The 19,806-nt window shown below is 52.3% G+C and overlaps 1 protein-coding gene and 1 long non-coding RNA gene across 2 annotated transcripts, besides 7 other annotated features; one reads left to right on the top strand and one right to left on the bottom strand.

Annotated features, from left to right (window-relative positions):
• Nucleotides 1,362-2,307: an enhancer, noted in NCBI's record as "H3K27ac-H3K4me1 hESC enhancer chr13:100649774-100650719 (GRCh37/hg19 assembly coordinates)". NCBI's record gives its function as "activates a minimal SCP1, AML or CMV promoter by ChIP-STARR-seq in primed H9 embryonic stem cells {active_cell/tissue: H9 hESC(primed)}" and the evidence as "EXISTENCE:reporter gene assay evidence [ECO:0000049][PMID:30033119]".
• On the top strand, nt 1,918-4,928 carry LINC00554 (long intergenic non-protein coding RNA 554). Its single transcript, NR_047483.1, has one exon. It is a non-coding gene; the product is annotated as a long intergenic non-protein coding RNA 554 (long non-coding RNA).
• Nucleotides 8,570-9,519: an enhancer, noted in NCBI's record as "H3K4me1 hESC enhancer chr13:100642562-100643511 (GRCh37/hg19 assembly coordinates)". NCBI's record gives its function as "activates a minimal SCP1, AML or CMV promoter by ChIP-STARR-seq in naive H9 embryonic stem cells {active_cell/tissue: H9 hESC(naive)}" and the evidence as "EXISTENCE:reporter gene assay evidence [ECO:0000049][PMID:30033119]".
• Nucleotides 13,062-18,043, bottom strand: ZIC2 (Zic family zinc finger 2). Its single transcript, NM_007129.5, has 3 exons — nt 16,688-18,043; nt 14,718-14,881; nt 13,062-14,504 (listed from the first exon to the last, which is right to left on the bottom strand). Exons 1-3 carry the CDS (start codon nt 17,760-17,762, stop codon nt 14,145-14,147), a joined length of 1,599 nt encoding a protein of 532 aa, NP_009060.2. The 5' UTR covers nt 17,763-18,043; the 3' UTR covers nt 13,062-14,144.
• Nucleotides 14,333-14,378: a tandem repeat, named in NCBI's record as "Zic family member 2 polyalanine repeat instability region".
• Nucleotides 14,343-14,372: a repeat instability region, noted in NCBI's record as "repeat instability region; expansions and contractions of the polyalanine-encoding repeat tract are associated with holoprosencephaly (HPE)". NCBI's record gives the evidence for it as "EXISTENCE:nucleotide sequencing assay evidence [ECO:0000219][PMID:11285244, PMID:9771712, PMID:22847929, PMID:21940735]".
• Nucleotides 15,086-16,285: an enhancer, noted in NCBI's record as "P300/CBP strongly-dependent group 1 enhancer chr13:100635796-100636995 (GRCh37/hg19 assembly coordinates)". NCBI's record gives its function as "activates an origin of replication core promoter dependent on BRD2, BRD4, P300/CBP, MED14 and CDK7 cofactors, with strong dependence on P300/CBP, by STARR-seq in HCT116 cells {active_cell/tissue: HCT116}" and the evidence as "EXISTENCE:reporter gene assay evidence [ECO:0000049][PMID:35650434]".
• Nucleotides 18,254-18,383: a silencer, noted in NCBI's record as "silent region_5475". NCBI's record gives its function as "represses an Ori minimal core promoter by ATAC-STARR-seq in GM12878 lymphoblastoid cells {active_cell/tissue: GM12878}" and the evidence as "EXISTENCE:reporter gene assay evidence [ECO:0000049][PMID:35858748]".
• Nucleotides 19,212-19,461: a silencer, noted in NCBI's record as "silent region_5474". NCBI's record gives its function as "represses an Ori minimal core promoter by ATAC-STARR-seq in GM12878 lymphoblastoid cells {active_cell/tissue: GM12878}" and the evidence as "EXISTENCE:reporter gene assay evidence [ECO:0000049][PMID:35858748]".

The following is a 19,806-nucleotide window of genomic DNA, read 5'->3' as shown; positions in this document are numbered from 1 at the left end:
CAGTCAATTTTTGTTACTACACTGACGATAATTATACTATGAGCATGATGTTTTAAAATCAAGATAGTTCTGACTTTATAAAAGCATTTGGTTATTTTAATAATTGAAAACTCCTACATTTCCCTCTAGTTTAGACATTTTAAAACAGCTAGAAATAGAATGTCCAGAGAAATCTTTCTCAGAATGACAACCAATATGAAAAATATCATCCAATGAACTAAAGCAGGGGAGTACTGCTGAAGTTTAATCTAATTTCCACACAGTATACACCATTTTACTATAAAATAATACTTTGTACTTACCTTCCTCAGAAGAAAACATCCTCCTTCCTCTTCTTCTTATTTTTGAGACAGAGTTTCGCTCTTGTTGCCCAGGCTGGAGTGCAATGGTGCAATCTCGGCTCACTGCAACCTCCACCTTCCAGGTTCAAGTGATTTTCCTGACTCAGCCTCCGGAGTAGCTGGGATTACAGGCATGCACCACCAGGCCCAGCTAATTTCGTATTTTTAGTTAGGGACGGAGTTTCTCCATGTTGCTCAGGCTGGTCTCGAACTCCCAACCTTAGGCAATCCACTTGCCTCGGCCTCCCAAAGTCCTGGGATTACAGGCGTGAGCCATGTATGGCCAAACCTCCTTATTATTATTTTAGCTTTCTAGGGACGAGAATGAATACAAATGGTTTTGTGGCCCAGATCTCAAATTAAAGCCCAGACCTCAACCCTCTTACTGTCTTTTTTTGCCAGAAGCAGCACTAACCCTCATTCTAACAAGGAGGGAGGGATGTCATAGCAATGTCACAGCAGCAGACACTTTGAAGGAGAAAGACCAGAAAGGAAAAATGGAGAAAGGATAGGAGGCTGAAAGGAAAAGACAGAAAAACAACTCCAGGGCTGGGCACGGTGGCTCACGCCAGTAATCCCAGCATTTTGGGAGGCTGAGGCAGGTGGATCACCTGAGGTGAGGAGTTCTAGACCAGCCTGGCCAACATGGTGAAACCGTCTCTCTTCTAAAAATACAAAAGTTAGCCAGGTGTGGTGTCGGGTGCCTGTAGTTCCAACAACTCGGGAGGCTGAGGCAGGAGAATCATTTAAACCAGGGAGGCAGAGGTTGCGGTGAGCCGAGATTGAGCCACTATATACACTCCAGTCTGGGCGACAGAGTGAGACCTCCGTCTCAAAAAATAAAAATAAAAAATAAGAAAAGGAACTCCAAAATACTGAGTTGAGTATAGACGCTCTAGTATAGAAACTGCAGACCACTGGACCGTCTCTCACGAACTGGTCAAACTCCTCCTGGGCTTTCCTAGACAGGGGTGGGGACAGACTCACAGGGCTGAGCTGAGGACAGAGCCCCACCAGGCGCTGTCAGGGCGGTTTCCCGACCACACGTCCCTGTCCAAAAACAACCGCACAGCAAATGTGGCTATGCCAAGTCCTTCAGGTATCAGTTAAATCTCCTCCTCTTCTGTATGAATTTGTATTATTTATAAGACACTTGACACACGTTTAAACACTTACATTACTCCTGCGACTCAGGAAATAGAGCTTGTTCAGCTGAGGGAAAAAAAGCATGTAATGAGGGAGTTAACAAGGACTGATATTTTTTTACAACATTCTTTAAAAACTGAAAAACCTCTTTAAACACCAGGAACAGCTTAAATAATTCACTGTAGGCCTAAGGGGCCCCTGTGGACGTTTCCCCCGCGGGTCCCTTTCTGGCCTCGGCCTCCCCGACTGTCATCCGCCAAGGTGGGCCCGGAGGGCGACGGGCTCCAGGCCTCGGTCTCAGCGGTCCTCCGGCTTCCGGGACCCACAGGGGCCCTGGGCTGGGTGGGGGCCAGCCGGACCTGGGGAGGCCGGACCCCGGAAGTGGGTAGAGGCGGGCCGTGCCTTTTGACCCCTGGGTGCGCGGAAAGTCGGTAGCAGGCGGAAGTGCGGCCCTCGAGGCGGTCGCGGCCTGTCGGGGCTTGGAGCGAATGGCTCCAAGGCCGCAGGCTGGGCCTGGGCCGCAGCCGTGGGAAGCCGACGATGCCTGAGGCGCTCTGTCCTCGGCCCACCCTAGGAACTTGTATGACCGCAGGAAAGGATCAGGAGAGGCCGCTGCCCGTCTCCCACCGGCTCTAGGCTCCCTCGGCCGACCGATGTGGGGAAGGGGAAGGGGCCCGCGCCGAGGCTCTAGGGGAGGCTCCTAGGCCGGGTTCTCTGACTTAAGGCCCTCTTGGCTGTGGTTTTGCGGGAGTGAGTTGAGGGAGCTGCATTCACTCAAGTCCCTCACATGCCCGAGGGCCCGGGAATCGTGAAGCCGGGCCTGCGGACCCGGTGGGAGGAAGGAGTGCGAAGCGCGGCCGCCGTGCTCGGCCGGCGCCGGGCTAGGTCGGGCGGTGGGGACCGCGCCGGCATAGGACAACGCGGTGGAGGGAAGCACCTGCCCCCGCCCACCTTGACTCAGGGCCGCCGCGCCCCTCCTGGGCCATCCGCGCGGGGGTCTCAGGATGGCGAAACCCGGGACCTCGCGGCCCTCTAGTGCTCCCCTGCCAGGGTGCGACCTAGGTACCCTTTATCGAGCCCCACTCCCCAAGGCAGAGAGAGTTCGACGTTCCCAAGGAGGGAGTCTCCATGGAGGAATTCGTCCTGCTTCACTTCCAGAGTTGAAAGCCCGTCGGTTCTGCAAAGAGGAGCAGTCGGGCGCGGGCTAGCAAGCAGCTGATGAAAATAATTGTCCTCGCACACACAGCCCTGCGCCCAGGGGCGCGCGCGCGCACACACACACACACACACACACACACACACACACACACAACTTGCCTCCTCTAGCCGCCCAACCTTAATATTCCGGGCATGCAGTTTTCAACAACTTGCCTGACACAATAACAAAGACATTTAAATGCCAGGACGCAGACTTCACTTTTTAACCTGCTGAGAGGAGCTACTTTCAAAGCTTCCCCACCGCGAATAAACTGACAAAAAATATGGGGTGCACTTATAAATTAAACACCTTACCCTCAAAGCAATATACGTTAATCAGGTTTCTAAGGCAATAGCCATCTCTGTCTTTTCCTATTCACCCAAATAATGCCCCCAGAAGGAACCCCTTTACACAAGAGAGAACTGGAAAAAAAATGAATTATACCCATTGCTAGTAAAAAATCATCTTAAATCAATAGAGCACCACTTGAACTTGAGTTTCTATTGTTTCACTGAATCATCAATGTTTTTAATTAAACAGAGCTACCCTTTCTGTTAAAACATTACATAAAAGGGTTAGGTTTCTACTTTTGTTGAGGCAGCTGGCGTTTGTTGGCTGTTGTGTTTGAGCAACAGACTGTTCAATGGAAGCGAGAAATAGCTCAACGCGCTCTTAATAGACCTGTTTCAACAATGTATCTTGAAAAGGAATACATTGTGTTATTGTGTTAGTTTGCTACAAACCTATTAAAAGAAAAATAGCATCCATCAGGTCTAACAAGACGCATTTGTATTATACGTACTTATCTGCTTCAAATACACTTCTTGGCACAATGTCTAGAATTCAACTAGATCATCAGGAGCTGGGCAGAAGAACGCATACCAGTTAGGTAATGATACACGGGCTAAAAATAATAATAAAGGAAGGACTAAGCAGACGGTAATTGCTACTTTTTTGTGTATCATGAGAAATAACAGGCAACCCTACTTCAATTAAAAATATATTGCAAAAGTGTGGACTCCTACGACAAAAACAATTTAAAAAATATTTGTAGCATGGGAATATTGATCCATATCCCATATTTGGAACGAATCTGATACACTTTCGATAGGAATTTGTTTCAGAGAAGGATTCAGGGCAGAAGCGATGCATTTTTAAAGCAGAATTAAAACAGCGCAAAGAGCCCGGCTCTTTAGGGAAATGCGCGAAACAAACAAATCGAAAGCAAGCGTTCCAGCCAAGTGGTTGGGGAGCACCGTTGTCTGGCACTAGGAAAGGAAGTGCTTCTTGAAAGTGTTCTCTTAAAAATGATTTTCCAGACTTATTTTATTGCATTTTAATCACAAAGTGAAACTTAAAGCAAAGAAACAGGACATTCCCGCTACCGAACAGAACCTATCGTCTATTGCAGGAATGACTGCTACTTGGACCACAGACCTTTAGAAAAAACAGAGAGGCAAATGATTAGGCTAATTTAACGCGGAGATCTGCTTAGCAGAAAAGACACCCAAAGTAGCATCTGTCAGAGGAAAACATCTTTTGCTTCCACACAAGGCACTCGATTTGGTTTCCAACCTTGAGTCCTCAACATTCAACTTTCAAGTGCAACAATGTTGGAGGCACAAGAGAATAGTAGATTACCTACAAGTGAACACAATTGTACGGAAAAGAGACTTACATAAGTTACAATGGCACCCTATGTGAGATATCTACTTTAACAAATATGTAGAGCAATATTTTGCCCAATAAAGTCAATCATTTGTTACATTTTTGAATAAGTAAATTATCACATGAAGATTTAGAAAAATGTTACCCTGAAACATTAAACGATAGTTTTGCCATATTACAAAATAGCTATTTTAAACTTTTGTATAAGGCATTTGAAGCCAAATGGCTGATATGACTGTTCTCTTCAGCTGGAACATTTTTTTTCTTCTCAAGAAGGGTGTGTGTGAATGATGTGTGTGCATACTGGAGGTAGTTGAGAAGAATTTGATTAATACATAAGACTTTTCACTAATGTCTCCCCTCTAATCCAAATTTACTTTTTAAATTAATTCACTTGGATTTAAAAACAGAAATGAGATAATAAACCACAAATTACACATTATAAAAATTAGTTTCTCCAATGTATATGATTTTTGGAAGAGTGCATTTTCAAGGTGAGAATTTTTGATGTGTCTGATAATCTGCCAGATATGAGAGGAATGTCACAATAAAATTGGTTTTGCCATGATATGAAATGTTGTTGCTGAAGCTTTATAAAGTCTTTGATTTACATTTAGAACTTTTAGAAATATTTGTGTGTCTGAAGTTGAACTACCTAGAGGGAAATATTCAATCCATTTTAATTTCAAGAGATTGTTCAAATAAACAAAGAATCACCAATGATATCATTTGAAAACCCAGCAAAGGAAGAAGTGTATTTTAGAGGAAGACTGTAATCTGATTCTTTGTTTTGTTCTTGGTCTTTAAAATCCTTGATTCTCCACTTTCGCAAAGAATTTTCAATAGTATATGAAAGCCAAATATTTTTATTGATCTAAAGTTTAAAAAAGTCCACATAGTATGTACTATAATTTGTCTCCCTTTAAACAATAGGAAGAGTATTATTAGATTACTAGATTACTTTCTATATCCCTCCCAAATTGTTCCTAGAAAGAAACTTCTGATCTGTTAATTTATCATCACTAATATCTAAAAATGTTTTAACCAATCAAACCATAAAAATATTTTTACTGCCATTGATCTTAAGCAGCATCTAATTTGAAAGATTTTACAGAGTACATTTTCAAAGCATCAAGCATCTTTACAGTTTCTTGGTCTGCCTTCAGTAGGTAAATGAGTATCATTTCAGATTTCCTTTCAGCTTCTTTTGCCTTTTAATTCACAAGTATAGAAAATAAGAGAGGTTAATGTTTTTAAACATTTCTGCTACACGCGATTATTTCAGTGCCATTCTCTGGTGTTGTGTCTGAAAAACGGGTGGCCAAGCCCGCTGCCCGCAGCGCCAGACATTCAGCCGGATCCACCCCTGGGCACAGTCATCAGGGGAAAGAGATTCAGCTTCCAAACTTGATTAAAAACAACCCAACAATTTCTGCCCCGTTAAAGAACTGTGTGATTGGAGAAGCTGAGTAAATTGCCTCAGAGAGGAGGTGGCTGAGGTCTATGTCTCTTTCAAGTGGGAGCATCGAGAAGCTGAAATATGCAGTTAGAGAGTGTGCTGCAGAAGGGCAGCTTGTCCACCAAAATCTGCAGTTAAAGTCCACTTTACAGGATTTAGGTGCTGAGATGGAGTGATTCTCCCTTATAATTTTTTCATCTTAATTTGAAAGGAAAAAGAAAACACACACACATGCCAAAGACCCACAGAGATGCTTAGGAATTGTTAACTTATTTCTGAGTTACTGAGACCTTTTGTTTTCTATTTAGAAAATATTTCAAAATATACTTCTCCCCTGAAAGTTACAATCTGAAAGATATAATTACAAGAAAAACACTAGGAGGGGAAAAATGAAGTAGGAATGAGGAGTGTGTAGGTTGGTGAATAAAATACATAACTGTCAGCATCTTTTTAATGATACATTGTTGTTGTTGTTTGGTTTGTGATATTTTTTATAGTAAAAACTAGACATCCAAACAGGAATCCAAATATGAATGGAAGTGGGAAGTTTTCTGGTGTGTTTCAACACTAAAATGAACACTATGTCTCTATGTGTCTGTGTGTTCTCCTTCAATTCATTTTTTTTACCCCAGAAAGTGGTGCAATTTGTTAATTTTTTTGTGGGCACAGGAGGAGGAAAATATGATACATTTGGGGATTTTTCAGTAGAGCTGTGTTTAGTTTTAATTTTCCTGTATTTTAAAATAAACACTTTGACCAAAGCATGTTTGATCTTTGCAAGAAGGAAGTATACATTGTGAAGGAATGTGCAGCGGTTGGGTATGAAAATGGGGTTGTGACTCACAGCTGCAGGCAGAAAAAAAAAAGGCGTCGTGGTGTCAGCCAGAGGTGTTCAGTCTAATAATTCAAGCTGTAAACTGCATCCCCTAAAATTACCTACATAATAAATCATTGTGCAAAGAAAAAAAAGTTTGGACTGAAAAGTGTAAGTGAAACAGAATCCTCAGGAGATTTCAATGCTGGGACCTATTGACAATGAAGTGAAATACAGGCTTATTTTGTTCAAAACTTTAAGGATCAGAATAATGGAAATTTCTCTAGCACAACTGATTTTTTTTTTCTGGCTTGGGTTTCAACGCATTTCTACCTAGTCTGTCACAAAAATGGGCTTATATATTTCTCTCCTGATCACACAGCCAAAACTGCTTTATAGAATTTACAGTCGACTTAATGCAGTTTCAAGAAAAAGCTCACTCAAGAATGGCTTTATTTTTATAAAAGTGATTATACGTAAGTTATCAAATGCATATCAAGAATGGAGGCAGAAATCTTTCTGACAATTCTTTTAGATTCCTGTCTCATATTACAATGTTGCTTGTAGGTACCAAAGAAACCACAAAATTTGTGTAACGTGGTAAATTAGCTTGCCTAAGAATTCACTGCTAGGTTGAAATACTTAGACACTGCGGTTGGCAAAGCCAGTGCCAAGTCCTGGAGACTTGAGAAACGTGAACATTTGGGGAAAAAATGCACCGTTTGGAGTAGAAAGGAGCTCCGTGGCGGGAGAAAAGATGAAATTGTCAAGAGGAAGTTTAAAGGCCAAGGACACACGAAGTCTTTGAAACAATAAGGGTGAAGAAGTCAAGAAGCAGACTCGCCAAAGCCATATTGAAACAATTTATTTTATAGGATCCCTATATTTCCATAATTAGTAAACAGAGTCACACTGGAAACACGGGCTGTGGGCTCTCGAGCTCACACGGGCCTCTCGAAGAGGAGAAAGTCAAGTTGTCACGGGTCTCTTTCGCCTGGGTATTTCACAGGAAAATACAAGGAGGCGGGAGGCCCGAGAAAGCTGACTCCAGCGAAGTTTGCAATAAGGATTAACTGGAGAAAGGAAGTCCACAGCAATTAAAACCCCTACCCTGGCTCATTAGTATTCATGACTGAATGTCCAGCTTTTCTGTTTATCTTTCTCCCAGGATCAATATCGGAGCAGCGTGGGCCTGGGAGGAGCCCAAGTTGGGCCCGGCATGCGCCTGACCTTTCGCGCCCTCCCTCCAGGTCAGCGCATCTTCAGAACCGCCGGCCAACGCCACACAAACGCTCATTAAATCCACCATTCACAGGCGGGCCGGCGGAGGCTGGGGGACGAGCCCGGGGGTGAGGACGGGGCCAGGGGCACGCAGACCCAGGCGACTCCAAAGAGTTTCGGGAAACCACACTCGGCCACCTAACCACTGTGGGCCCAGTGGGCCAAGAGAGAGAAAAGAACAAGAACCAGCTCTGGATGCAGCGAGAGGCTCCAGCGCAGCTCCTGGCAGGCCCTCGCTGGCTCGGCCTTGTTCCAGACCCTAAGTTTAGGGGGGCTTTGCCTGGTGGTAGGGGGGAGACTGGCAACATAAGAGCCGGGGTGAAAAGGGAACCACACCCACACCTCCAGTTCTGCCAGTCAGGAGCCTCTGTAGGCCTCCGCCGGCCTCCGCGGAGCAGCCCAGTCGCTGAGCGTTAACTGCGATGATTATCTCTGACATTATTATTATTTCTACCCCCCACCTTCTCCAGCAGCTCTGAGCTCCCTTCTGCTCCCCAGGGCCACCGGCTTGGCCTTTAGGACAGAGATAAACCTAGCCCGGGAGGTTGGGAAAGGCAGAGGTTGAGGCCAGGTTCAGGGGACGCGGGGGCCAGGCAGCTCTTCCCTTACTCCAGATTTCCTTGGAGGTGAGGGGGCGCTCCCCTCCCTACACCCGAGGGCTGGAGGGCGCGCGGGCAGGCAAGGCAGCCTGGCCTCTCTCAGCCCCTGGAAGTGGGCTTGGGAGACCCAACTGCAGGGAGCCTTAGTCCCACGCCAGTGGCGCGAGTGCCGGCCTGGGGAGTGCCGCCCTGGGTGGGGGAGGACCCTCCGAGGCCGAATTAGGTTGAGAGCGCAGGGCAGGCCCGGTCCCCTCCAAGAGGCGCTAGAAAGGGCTGGGGGAGGTAGGAATGGGAGGAGGGGTGCGGGGAGCATCTCCTGCTGCCCACGCTAACCCACATTTCTGCGGCCTCAGGTCCTTCCCACTCACGCGAGCCTGTGGCTGGGAGGTGCGGAAGCTGAAGGAGGTGAGGGTGTGTGAGCATATGGTGTGAGTGTGTTGTGTGTATGTGTGTCTGTGTGTGTGCGTGTCTGTGTGTGTGCGCGCGCGCAAAGGCAAGGGACCTCCCCACACACTCTCTGCCTGGCAGCTGCGCTGAGCATCCTCTCGCTTCGTGGGGCAGGAGGGATGCTGGACGAGGGCAGGGCCTAGAGCAGGAGAAGGCGAAGCGAGGTGTCACCTCTTCAAAAGCTCGTCGGCTCCTGGGAACAAAAGAGAAACGTGGGAGGGCGACGAGGTGGCCCCAGCACCGAGAGTTCTCGGACTGTCGGGGCGGGGCAGGAGTGGGAGGACCCTGGTCTCGAATTCCCTGCCGAAGATCTTGGCTGTGGCAGCTCGGGGGCGGGGCGAGGCCTGGACTCGCTGGACCTAGTAGCCCACAGCCTTGACCGTGAACTCAGACCCTCAGGATGCCCTGGTTATGGCTTACAAAAGTTCTCATTTGCAACACCCTGTTCAAACGGCCACGGAGGCCTTTTCATGCTCGGGCACCCAGCCGGACTAGCCTGAGGGTTTTTGCCCGATCACCTGATCCAGTCTGGAAGGACCTAGTGTTTTTTTTGTTGTTGTTGTTGTTGTTTTTCCCCCGAAAATAAAAACCCAGCAATGATCTGGTGTCGGGAGGGGGGAAGTGGAGGGGAACTTCTTCCGGTCCAGTTCTGAGCTGCCAGTGAAAAACAGAAACCGTCCATTTAGGTCTGCTGGGGTAACAGTGGGCCAAGGAGCTCCGGGTTTCTGTGGAACCAGAGCGATATCAGACTATAATCAATCCATCCACAAATCATTATTGAACCTTTGGGTTCTGAGGACCTCTTTCCAGGACGTGTCTGCTAAAACAAACAAACAAACAACAACAACAACAACAACAAACCTACCCAAAGCTTCAACCAAGTCTTGATGGAGTGTGATTTTGAGGCCTTTATCACTGAGCCCTTGGAAGCAGGCCTAGCGCGCCCTTCCGATCATTTCGGTGGAGTAGTGTGGGGGAGGGTAGGACCCGAGTCTCTAGTGGGCGCCCGGTGGGTTCCCGCGGGTCCCCGATGCCACGGGTGAGCTCACCAGGGACCTACCGGGACACACCTCCCCCCGTCCTGCCGACCTGGGCGGGAGACCCGTCACCTCGCCGGCCCAGGCCTTCCTTCCTAGCCAACCCTGGGACGCAGAACAGCACAGAGTCCAGGGAAACCCGAGCCTCCGGTACAGTCTGTGATCTGCCCTTGATCTCAGGGTTTTGTGCGGAAAATAAAACCACTTGAGACTGAAAACATCCGTCTGAAAAAGAGACAAAAGGGCTAGGGGGTGGGGAAGAGGAAGAGCGAAGGTGCCGGCCTAGGGAAGAGCTCTGGGACAGCCAGGTATGGGCGTGCGGGTCCTGGGACGAGTTTCTTCCCTCGCGTCCAGCCGGGGCTTGGCCCCAGCAGCCTCCCTCTGCCCATGCCCCAAGCAGAACCGACGCGGCCTCTGATCCTGGAGTGACTTCCTCCCCGCCCCGAACTTCGTGGGATATCACTGAACCAGGGAAAGCTGATACCGATGCCGGTTATCATCCTGGGCATTAATAATGCAGTAAGGATCACGATAATTAATAATAATAATGACGGGCCTCCCGAGGGGGCTCCAGCTGCCTCCGGATAAAGCGACGCTCGCGCTGAGGGGACTTCTTAGGTGGTGGATGGAGGTGAGCGCGAAGGAAGCCGGCCTAGGCTCACTGAAGTTCAAGTTGACGGCGGCGGCTAGCAGAAACCGTGCTCCAGCCGCGGCAGGTTGGGCCTCCCTGCGGGCAGCTACCCGCAGCGCAGCGCGGGATCCCAGAGAGGGGCGAGGGCTAGCTTCAGTTTCGTGTCTCTGGAGTCAAGGCAACAGCAGGTTAGCATTTAGGTCCGTTTAGACAGCCGGGCAGGGATAGGGGTGGGGTTGGGGTGGGGGGGACGCCTGTCCCCCCCACCCCACCCCCAGGCCCAGGCCCAGGCTCCTGAGTGTGGTGCAGGCTGTTGGGCCGCGAGCCCCCGCGTGCGTTCTCAGTTGAGCAATTTTCACATCTTGACACTTCTACACTATTGCCATATCCCCTCCCCTCCATCCAGTCCTTCGGATTCGAAGGGCAGAAAAGAAAGGCCAAAGAGAGAGAATGGACCACCTTGTCGGGTCCGTGACTTGTTTGGACAAAGCCTTGGGAAGCGAGGGACCAGGGACTGGGAGCCCTTTCGAGGAAAAGCGGCTCCCGCCCGCTCCACACATCCTAGGGTGGACTCGGAGACCACTCCCAGGCTGTGATCTTCCTCGTTCATATTTTATTCTCCTGCTGAAAACTAGGATCAGCGCCCCCGCACCTGAAGGGGCCTCGGGTGGCTCTCTGACTTTCAGATGGGGAAAGCAATCGAACCAACTCAAGGCTGTGAGATCGGCCACCTCTTCTGGCCCTTTTTGTTCTTCCCCAGATGGGAAGAAAAGCCCCAAACCCCATGGTAAAATTGCCTTCCCCACCCCCATCTTGTCCTTCTCCTTAGATTTGGGGCTTCTCTCAAAACCAATTTCCACCAAAAAATAAAAAATAAATAAATTTTTAAAAAAGTTGAAACATTTCCAATAGGCCTTTTTGTTCTTGCACAAGTTATGACAAATATTTCATTTGACTCCTTCGTCCCCCCATGGGGGTGGGGGTGCTTTGGAAAACTCTAAACGATTTTCCTCACAGCTTATAATGTGTTCAATGAACTCTCCCAAGGATCAGTAACATATGCCAATTATTTTAATAATTTCGCCTAATATTATTAGGGGTTATAAATTTGATTTTAATGGGGCTCTGATTGCTTCAGGAGTTGGCGCTTGGGCAGTTCGCAGAGCCGCTGGGGAAGGCGAGCCTGGCCTCTGTCACCCTCTGGTCACTCCCCCACCCAAGGCTGGACGCCTTTCCTCCCCACTGAACAGGTATTGTGACCTCCGGGAGGTCAGGGCTGCCCCTCTCTCCCCAAGCACCCCTCAGGCCTGGCCAGCCTGGTCCAGAGGCTCATTCCAGGGCTGGAGGGAAAGGAGAGCAGGGAAGCCGCAGCCATCGCGCCACCCGCGCTCTGCGTCTCCACGGCGGTGCTGCGCGATCCTCTGGAGGTGTCGCTGCCACCACCCAAGTCTTTTTCCAGCTGGGAGAGCTGGAGGGGGGAGGTCCAGCACTGCCCAAGGCCTCTTGGAGCTACTGGGAGAGGGAGATATTTTGATGGCTCAGAAATTTAAAAATAATCTTCCCCATCCCTACCCTTTCGTTATTACAATTATTTTTGCCTTCTTCCTTAGAGTATCTTGTTTGAAAACTCCGATCAGCTCCTGCGGGGAAGGTAGGAAGGCTGTAAACGTGGGAGAAAAGCTGGTGGCTGGGGCTCTGGCTCTCTCACTTCCACCTGGCAATTTTAGTCTCGATATTTTATTCTATTTTTACTGAATTCTTCAAGAGATTCTCTTTCCTTTGGGGCCAACGGTTTGTTGCTTTCCTATCTAATCTCCTCCCCCAAGAAGATCAAAATATAGCCTATTTATCACCTTCCCTTGACCATCCTGCTTGTTGGGACACAGCTGCTTTGCTTCAGCAAGGTTTCTCTGCTTAAAATTTCAAGCAACTTTTGGTACAAACGGGCCCTTAAAACTATAATCATTAGGCCAAGTTCAAAAAGAAAGTACTCTGCACAGTTTTAAATGTGTAATTAAAAATAACTGTACCTCAGCTTTTCAGAGGGAGGGAGAGGAAAGGGGGCAGGAAAGGGGGAAAACAAAGAATAAGGAAATGTTTAGTGCTCTTAAATCCAGCCCAAATAGCTGAAAGAAAGAAAGGCATTCCCTCAGATAATGGAGCCATTAGAAGCTCTGAAGGTTCCTGCCGCCATTCCTCACAGGGGCTTTCCAAAAATTTAATTCACTCTCAGCTATTAAACAAAGGCCGAAGAAAATAATTTTGAGACCTTCTGCCAAACGGGCACTTTGGCTTGGTTTCTATGCAGACACACACCTTCCTCCCCAGAACGCGTGTGCCTCCCGCCCACTCAGGCTCGCTGAGGCGTACCCAGGTCAATCCTCAGCTGCCTCTTCCCCCATTTTCTTTAATAACTTTGCTAGAAAAAATAGTATGTTCATGCAGTTTCAACACATTTTATTATATTTCTGTATGCATTACTCTCAAAACATCACAAGAAATGATCAAACCACTTAAAACCTTCAAATAAAAAATCTGAAACAGTTTATGCCCACAATTGTACATATTTATAGTTAAGAAACATTCTTTATAAATATTGTTTCCTCTGTAGCAAGTTAATACCATAATTTAATTACAAATGGATAAATATGGTAACGGGTATTTACAGAAGGAAGGGTGTTATTACGGAAAAAGCTAACGGCACGACGTTTATTTTTCCCCCACAATCTTTCATACAGGAACTAACAAATTGAACTTGCAAAAGCACTAAAACATCACATGTAAACCCAGCTAACAGAAAAATACATTCACAAGCGTTGTTGGTGGTGGTGTGTATGTGTGTGCTATGGGTCAATGTGCTGAAGAAACAGAAGGGAGACTTTGGCACGGCTCATTTTTTCCAGTCTATAGTTACATGAAGTTTACAATCAGGTTGCCTCATAAAAAGGAACACAATATTCAATACCACAATACAAAATAAACCATTTTCTTCCACATTACTTAAAAAGAAACCGGGTAAACTAAAAAGAGAAAAGAGAAAGCCCATCACTTTAGGGAAGGGAAGGGGCGGAAGGCGGGGAGGAACGCAATCCGGAGTTTTACAAATGGACAAACTTCTATACACCAAAAAGCCTTTAAAACCACCTCGGAGGAGAAAGGAGGAGTCCGCTATGTACACAGTTTGTCAGAAGACTGGGAACAGGGTGGGAAAGAACGTGGGCATGGAGATTAGCAGGGAGGTTTGGTTCAACATTTTTGTGGGTTTTTATTTTTTTATTTTTTATTTGTTTTATATTTTCAGCTTCAAAGACTCCGGAAGGGATATTTTTGCTCTTCATGCCTAGATTATTATTAAAAAAAAAAAAAAAACTTTAAAAAATCCTTCTGCTGGTAAAATTTTCATCATCATAAAAATCAGATTCATAATTTTAACAACATGATCACAAGGTGCCCTCGCTGCTAGCTGCGGGGAGGGCTGCTGCGCTGGGGTGGGGACAGGGAGAGGGAGAGAGGCCCCGACCCGTCACACGTACCATTCATTGAAGTTGGAGGAGAGGCCGCTGTGACCCCCGGCTGTCCCGCTGCCCCCGCCAGAGCTGCCGCCGCCCCCGCCGCCCGCCCCGCCGCCGCCCCCGCCACTGCCGCTGCCGCCGCCTGAGCCGCCTCCCGCGCCGCCACTGCCCGAGCCTCCGCCCCGGTGCACCGCGGACACCGCGGCCGCCGCCGCCGCAGCCGCCGCCGCCGCTGCCGCCGCCGCTGGGGACAGGTTGGAGCTGCTCTGGGGCTCGGCGCTGGGGGACACCAGCCCCGGGGGCGTGGACGACTCATAGCCGGAGCTGGCGGCCGGGGAGGATTCAGAGCCCTGCGGGGAGGACTCATGGACCTGCAAGACAAAAGCCGGGAGGGGGGACCAGAGGGGACTGGGTGTGAGTGCAGCTGCTGTGGGGCCGGGCCCCTGGGGGAGAGCACCCCCAGAAATGTTCCCCCCGCCGCCCTGGCCCCTGGGGACCCTCCCAGGCCGGCTGAGGTGGTCCGGGCCAGTGCTGCACCGGCGCCTCGGCCTGCCTCGCCCTCCTCCCGGCCGCCGCGGTGGTACCTTCATGTGCTTCCGCAGCGAGCTGGGGTGCGTGTAGGACTTGTCGCACATCTTGCAGAGATAGGGCTTATCGGAGGTGTGGACGTGCATGTGCTTCTTCCTGTCGCTGCTGTTGGCGAAGCGCCGGTCGCAGCCCTCAAACTCACACTGGAACGGCTTCTCCCCTGTGGACGGCAAACATCGGCGCTGGCTGCAGACACCCAGAGCCTGCAGAGCCCCCACTCAGGCTGCGAGGGGGCTGGGCCGCGGCGAGGGAGAAGGACCTGAGGGGGCTGGGTCCCTCAAACCAGTCCGATCCCCTCTGCGGCAGAACTAAGATCAAATTAACCGCCTTCCCGCCCGACAGTCCTGCTCATTTATTTCGTATTTTACTTTCTTCCAGGCTGACGTCCATCTCCTCAAATTTCTCAGGAATGTGGGGAAGCTCCTAGCCCTGCCTGCCTTTCTAGAGGGCTTCTTGGATTTGCAGCTTCTAACAAGTTGCTCTCGCCACGGAGAAGCTGTTATTATGACAAAATATTTGGGGCATTATCAAAATCACACAGGCTGCTGGGCTGCTGTCGGTTTCTCGCCAGGGCCAGTAAGCAATTACATTTGGAGTTGCTACGTGTTGTTTGGGGGCCGGGCTGTGGAGAGTGACTGAGCCAGTATTTTTCATCCAAAATTCTGCAAATTGAATTAACCACAATTCTAGTCTCACCTCCCGTCTTTAAAAAAATAAGTTGAAGAAAAGGTAAATATTAGAGATAAGGCAGCATCTAGTGACTGCGGAGAGGCACAAGCTGGTGGGCGAGGGTTGGGGGAGTCAGCAAAGCCTTTCAAAACCTCCCCGTTTAATTTTCTGGCTGTCTCTGCATCCTGTTGCCAGAATTCCAAATGCTTGGAGTCATTTAGAGGTGCGAGAACTCAAACGTCGTTCCACTTGGAAAGGGGACCGTTTAACGTTAAATTCCATTAGCACCTAAATTGTTTCTTAAAGACATCCGCTCAGACACAGGACTCGAAAGCGAGCATTTCATGCAAATAAATTTCTCAAATTTTAAACCTTGTTAAAAGCTTGTCTCGCACCTCGGCTCCCTCCCTTCCCGGAAGAGAACAATAGGCCGCTGGCGCATCCCCACTTCGGAGTAAATATTGACGGGGGAAGTTGCTAAAACATTTGGCTTTCTTTTAGGAAATCGTCTGGCACGATTTTGGCTGAGACCTGGTCATAGATGAATAATCTATGAGGCGGGAGGCGCGTTCTTTTGCGGCTCTCTCTTCTCACGCGATCCCCCCGCGGGGCCGCGCTGCCTGGGGCTCTAGCTGACCTGGGGCTCTAGCTGACCTGGGTCCAAGTTGGGAATCGCAAACTCTGTGGTGCCCATTAGAGAATTTCACAAACTGCTGCGAAACCACAGTAAAGCCCCCGCGACCCACCCCGAGACGGGCTTTAAAAACACTTTAAAAATGAGAAACGCATTACAGCTTCGGCTCACACCAGACTCATTTCATGGGAAACAGTCCCGGGAAGGGCGTTTGGACCCCGAGTAAAAGAAGTGGGAAAACACACAAACCACTCAGACAGACATACACTCCGAGCAGAAAAGCACATTCAGACAAGCTGGCAAAATCCTCTCTAGGCTCGCTTCCCGGGCACCGAATTAGCGAGCAGTTTTATTTTGTGCTTTCTACTTAAAACGGAAATTATTAACCGGGGCTGAGCAAACGAAGCAATTGCATGACCCAAGCATACATTTGATGTGAGGCTAATCATTCAAAACTCGATTTCCGCACATGGAAAAACCTAGCCCAATAATATTGTCATCGTCCAACAGAAACAAGCTGCTGGCTCTTTCGTACACGCAAAAACACCTCCCATCCCAGGTCCCCGGCTGGCGGTCTGCGCCCAGCGTCGGCACCCACAGCCTGAGTCTCAGCCTGTGCGTGTCTCCCCTCCGCGCCTGGTCCCTGTCCCAGCCCGCGGTTACCTGTGTGGGTCCTTTTGTGGATCTTGAGGTTCTCGGAGCGCGCGAAGACTTTGCCACAGCCCGGGAAGGGGCAGGGGAAGGGTTTCTCGCCTGTGTGCACGCGGATGTGGTTGACCAGTTTGTATTTGGCCTTGAAGGGCTTGCCCTCGCGCGGACACTCCTCCCAGAAGCAGACGTGGTTGCTCTGCTCCGGGCCGCCGACGTGCTCCACCGAGACGTGTGTCACCAGCTCGTGCATGGTGCTGAAAGTTTTGTTGCAGCTCTTCTTGGGATTGCTCAGTTGCTCGGGGTCGATCCACTTGCAGATTAGCTCCTGCTTGATGCACTGCTGCCGCATATAGCGGAAAAAGGCACCGGGGTGGTGGTGGTGGTGGTGGTGGTGGTGGGCCGCGGCTGCTGCCATGTTCATACCCATGTTCATATTCATGGGGCCGTACTGGTTGTGGAGTTGCGCCGCCGAGTAGGGGTCGGTCCGCGGGCTGGCCACCTGGCGGTATTGCTCCGAGCGCCCGAACACCTCGCCGGGCAGCCCGAGGCGCATCTGCCCGTTGAGCACATTCTGCGAGCCGTGCGGCCCGTGCTGCTCTGGCAGGCCCGGGAAGAGGAGGTGGCCCTGCGCGTCCGAGTGCGCGTGGTGCAGGCCGCCCGCGCCCGGCCCGAACAGCCCGTGCTGCCCGCCGCCCGGCGCCGAGTCCCCGAAGCCGCGGCTGCGGAACAGGAAGTCCCGGGTGGAGTTGAAGGGCGGCCCAGAGTAGGAGCCAACGTGCGCGGCGTGGGGCCCGAGCGCTGCGGCCGCAGCGGCAGCCGCAGCGGAGCCGGGGTAGGCGCCGGGGCCCTGCGACGTGAACGCCGAGCTCTGGCCCGGGGACAGCTCGTGCGCGCCCGGGTTGAGCTTGAAGGCTCCCATGTGCGCGGCGGCGGAGTCAACGAAGCCGTTCTGCGCCGCCGCCAGGCTCAGTTCACGGTCCTGCATCTCGGCGGCAGCCGCCGCCGCCGCCGCGGCGGAGTGGTGATGGTGGCGCGCGAAGCTGCCCACCCCGATGGCCGGGAACTGCGGACCCGCGTCCAGGAGCATGGCCAGCGCGCCCGCCCGCCCCTGCGAGCCCTGCGCCTCCGCGCCGCCTCGACTCCCGCTCCCGATCCGCGCGGTGCGTCCGGCGGCCACCGGGCTCCAGGCGCAGGCGGCGGTGGTGGCGGCCACTTCAGCCCTGGGAGCCGCTCTCCTGCGCCCGCCGCCTCCGCCGCCGCCTGGATCTGCCTCGGGCGGCCGGGCGCGTAGCGAAGGCGCGGAGAGGAAGAGGAGGAGGAGGCGGCGGCGCGGGAGGAGGAGGAGGAGGTGGAGGAGGAGAAGAGTCCAAAGCCAGGCGGAGAACCAAAGTGTATTAAAGGAGCTGCGGCGGGGGCGGGCGGGCAGGGCAGGGGAGGGCGGGCGGGAGGAGGGAGCCGGAGGGAGGTGTGGGGAGCCGAGAGGAGAGGGGGGCTACCGGGGGGCGAGCGCCGCGCCGCAGCCCCCACCCCTGCGCGCACCCGCGCGCGCACGCACACACTCACTCGCACGCCCAGCGGACCCGGAGCCCGGCCGCACCGAGCAGCGCCGGTAGAATGCAGTCACAACCGCGGCGGCCGTGCGCACGCCAGGCAGACGGGCGAGGAGAGGACCGAGGCGAGCTCCGCGCTCGGCACCCGGGGCCAGCGCACCAGCGGCTCCACCTGACCGCGGCGGGGGCGCCGGGGCGGCAGGCGGAGTCCAGGCGTCCTCTCCGCGGCGCTCTGCGGCGACAGCTCCCTCCCCCGCGGCCCTACTCGCGCCGCCCCGCGCGCGGCGGTTATTGTTCGGAGCCGCGGCCGCAGTGTTTAGCCCTCCTCGGCCTCGGCGCTTGGCATTGGCTGCGCCTCGCGTAGTAAACTTGCAGTGGCCACGAATTTCCCCAGATGAAGGCAGCAGCCGCGCCGCTCCCCCTTTCTTTAAGTTGTGCCGGAGGAGGAGGCGGGGGAGTAGGGGGGAGGGGGATGTGGGAGGGGAGAAAGCGAGCAGGGGGAGGGGAGGAGGGGGAGGCTGGGCTGAAAAACAATAACAACAATAAAAAAGTGATCTCTCGCTCGCCTCCTCCCTCCCGCCGGTCGGGCCTGGGCGCTGGGCCCGGAACTAGTGACCGCGCCGCGTGGACCCAGCGCAGTCCGCGACCCGAGGGAGTGTGAGGCCCAGGCGGGCTCCCAGGTCTCGGCTGCGGTGGGCTGCGTTCGCCACCGCCTCCGTTGATTTCGATGGGCGCCGCCAACGCTGCAGCGGCAGCCTTTTATTTTTTATTTTTTGTCTCCTCCTTTTCCTCTCCCCTCCCCCCGCACCCCCTAGTCTCCCGCCCCGGCCTCCCTCCCTCCCTCCAGCTCGAGGCCGGGCCCCCCCGGTCAAACCGCCCCTTTAACGGCGGCTCCCGCCCCGCCCGCCCTCCCGGCGCCGCGATTGGCCGCCGCGGCCTAGTCAGTCCCGCGCCCCCGCCCCGCTGCCGGGCCCGCCCCTCAGTCCTCGCGCTCCCTGAGCTGCTGCCGGCTCAGGCAGCCGCCGAACGTGCCCGTGGGCCCGGCCTGCCATCCTGCCGCGCTTCTCCCGAGACCTCGGCGCCGCGGCTTCTAGTCCTGGCCGACCGCGGCGCTCCCGGGAGCCGGGCGTCCAGCGTGGCTCGGACGCGGGCCCGGGCCGCGGGGTCAGGGCGCCCTCAGCCGGGTCAGGAATGGGAGGCAACCCAGCGCTCCAGTCTTTCTGCGTAGGCCACCGACTTCCCCGGGATCTGAGCAGCTCCCAGCGGACACCGAAAACCCCGGGGACGCCTGGCCCGAGCACTCCAGGCCGCTCGAGAGGTGGCTAACAGCTGGGTCGCCTGGCAGGAGGCTCTGCGCGCGGGGACATTTCAGGCCCGGGGCCTCGCCGGGAGCGCGCCACAAGGAGCGGCGGGGGGCTGGTCTGCTGCCCGCTTGGCACGCTCCCTACTTTCACCCCGCCTTTGTAAACTTGCTCTGTGGCATTGAAACCACAGGTGCAGGACCGTGGGCACAGAGAAAGCCAGGCATGCCCCTTCTTCCCACCCTCCGGACGCCCACCCAGACACCGCCTTCCCCGCCCC

The sequence above is a fragment of the Homo sapiens genome, chromosome 13, assembly GCF_000001405.40.
Source record: "Homo sapiens chromosome 13, GRCh38.p14 Primary Assembly".
In the NCBI taxonomy this organism is placed as follows: domain Eukaryota; kingdom Metazoa; phylum Chordata; class Mammalia; order Primates; family Hominidae; genus Homo; species Homo sapiens.
The sequence above is the reverse complement of the archived record's forward strand: the minus strand, read 5'-3'. Positions and strand labels throughout refer to the sequence as shown.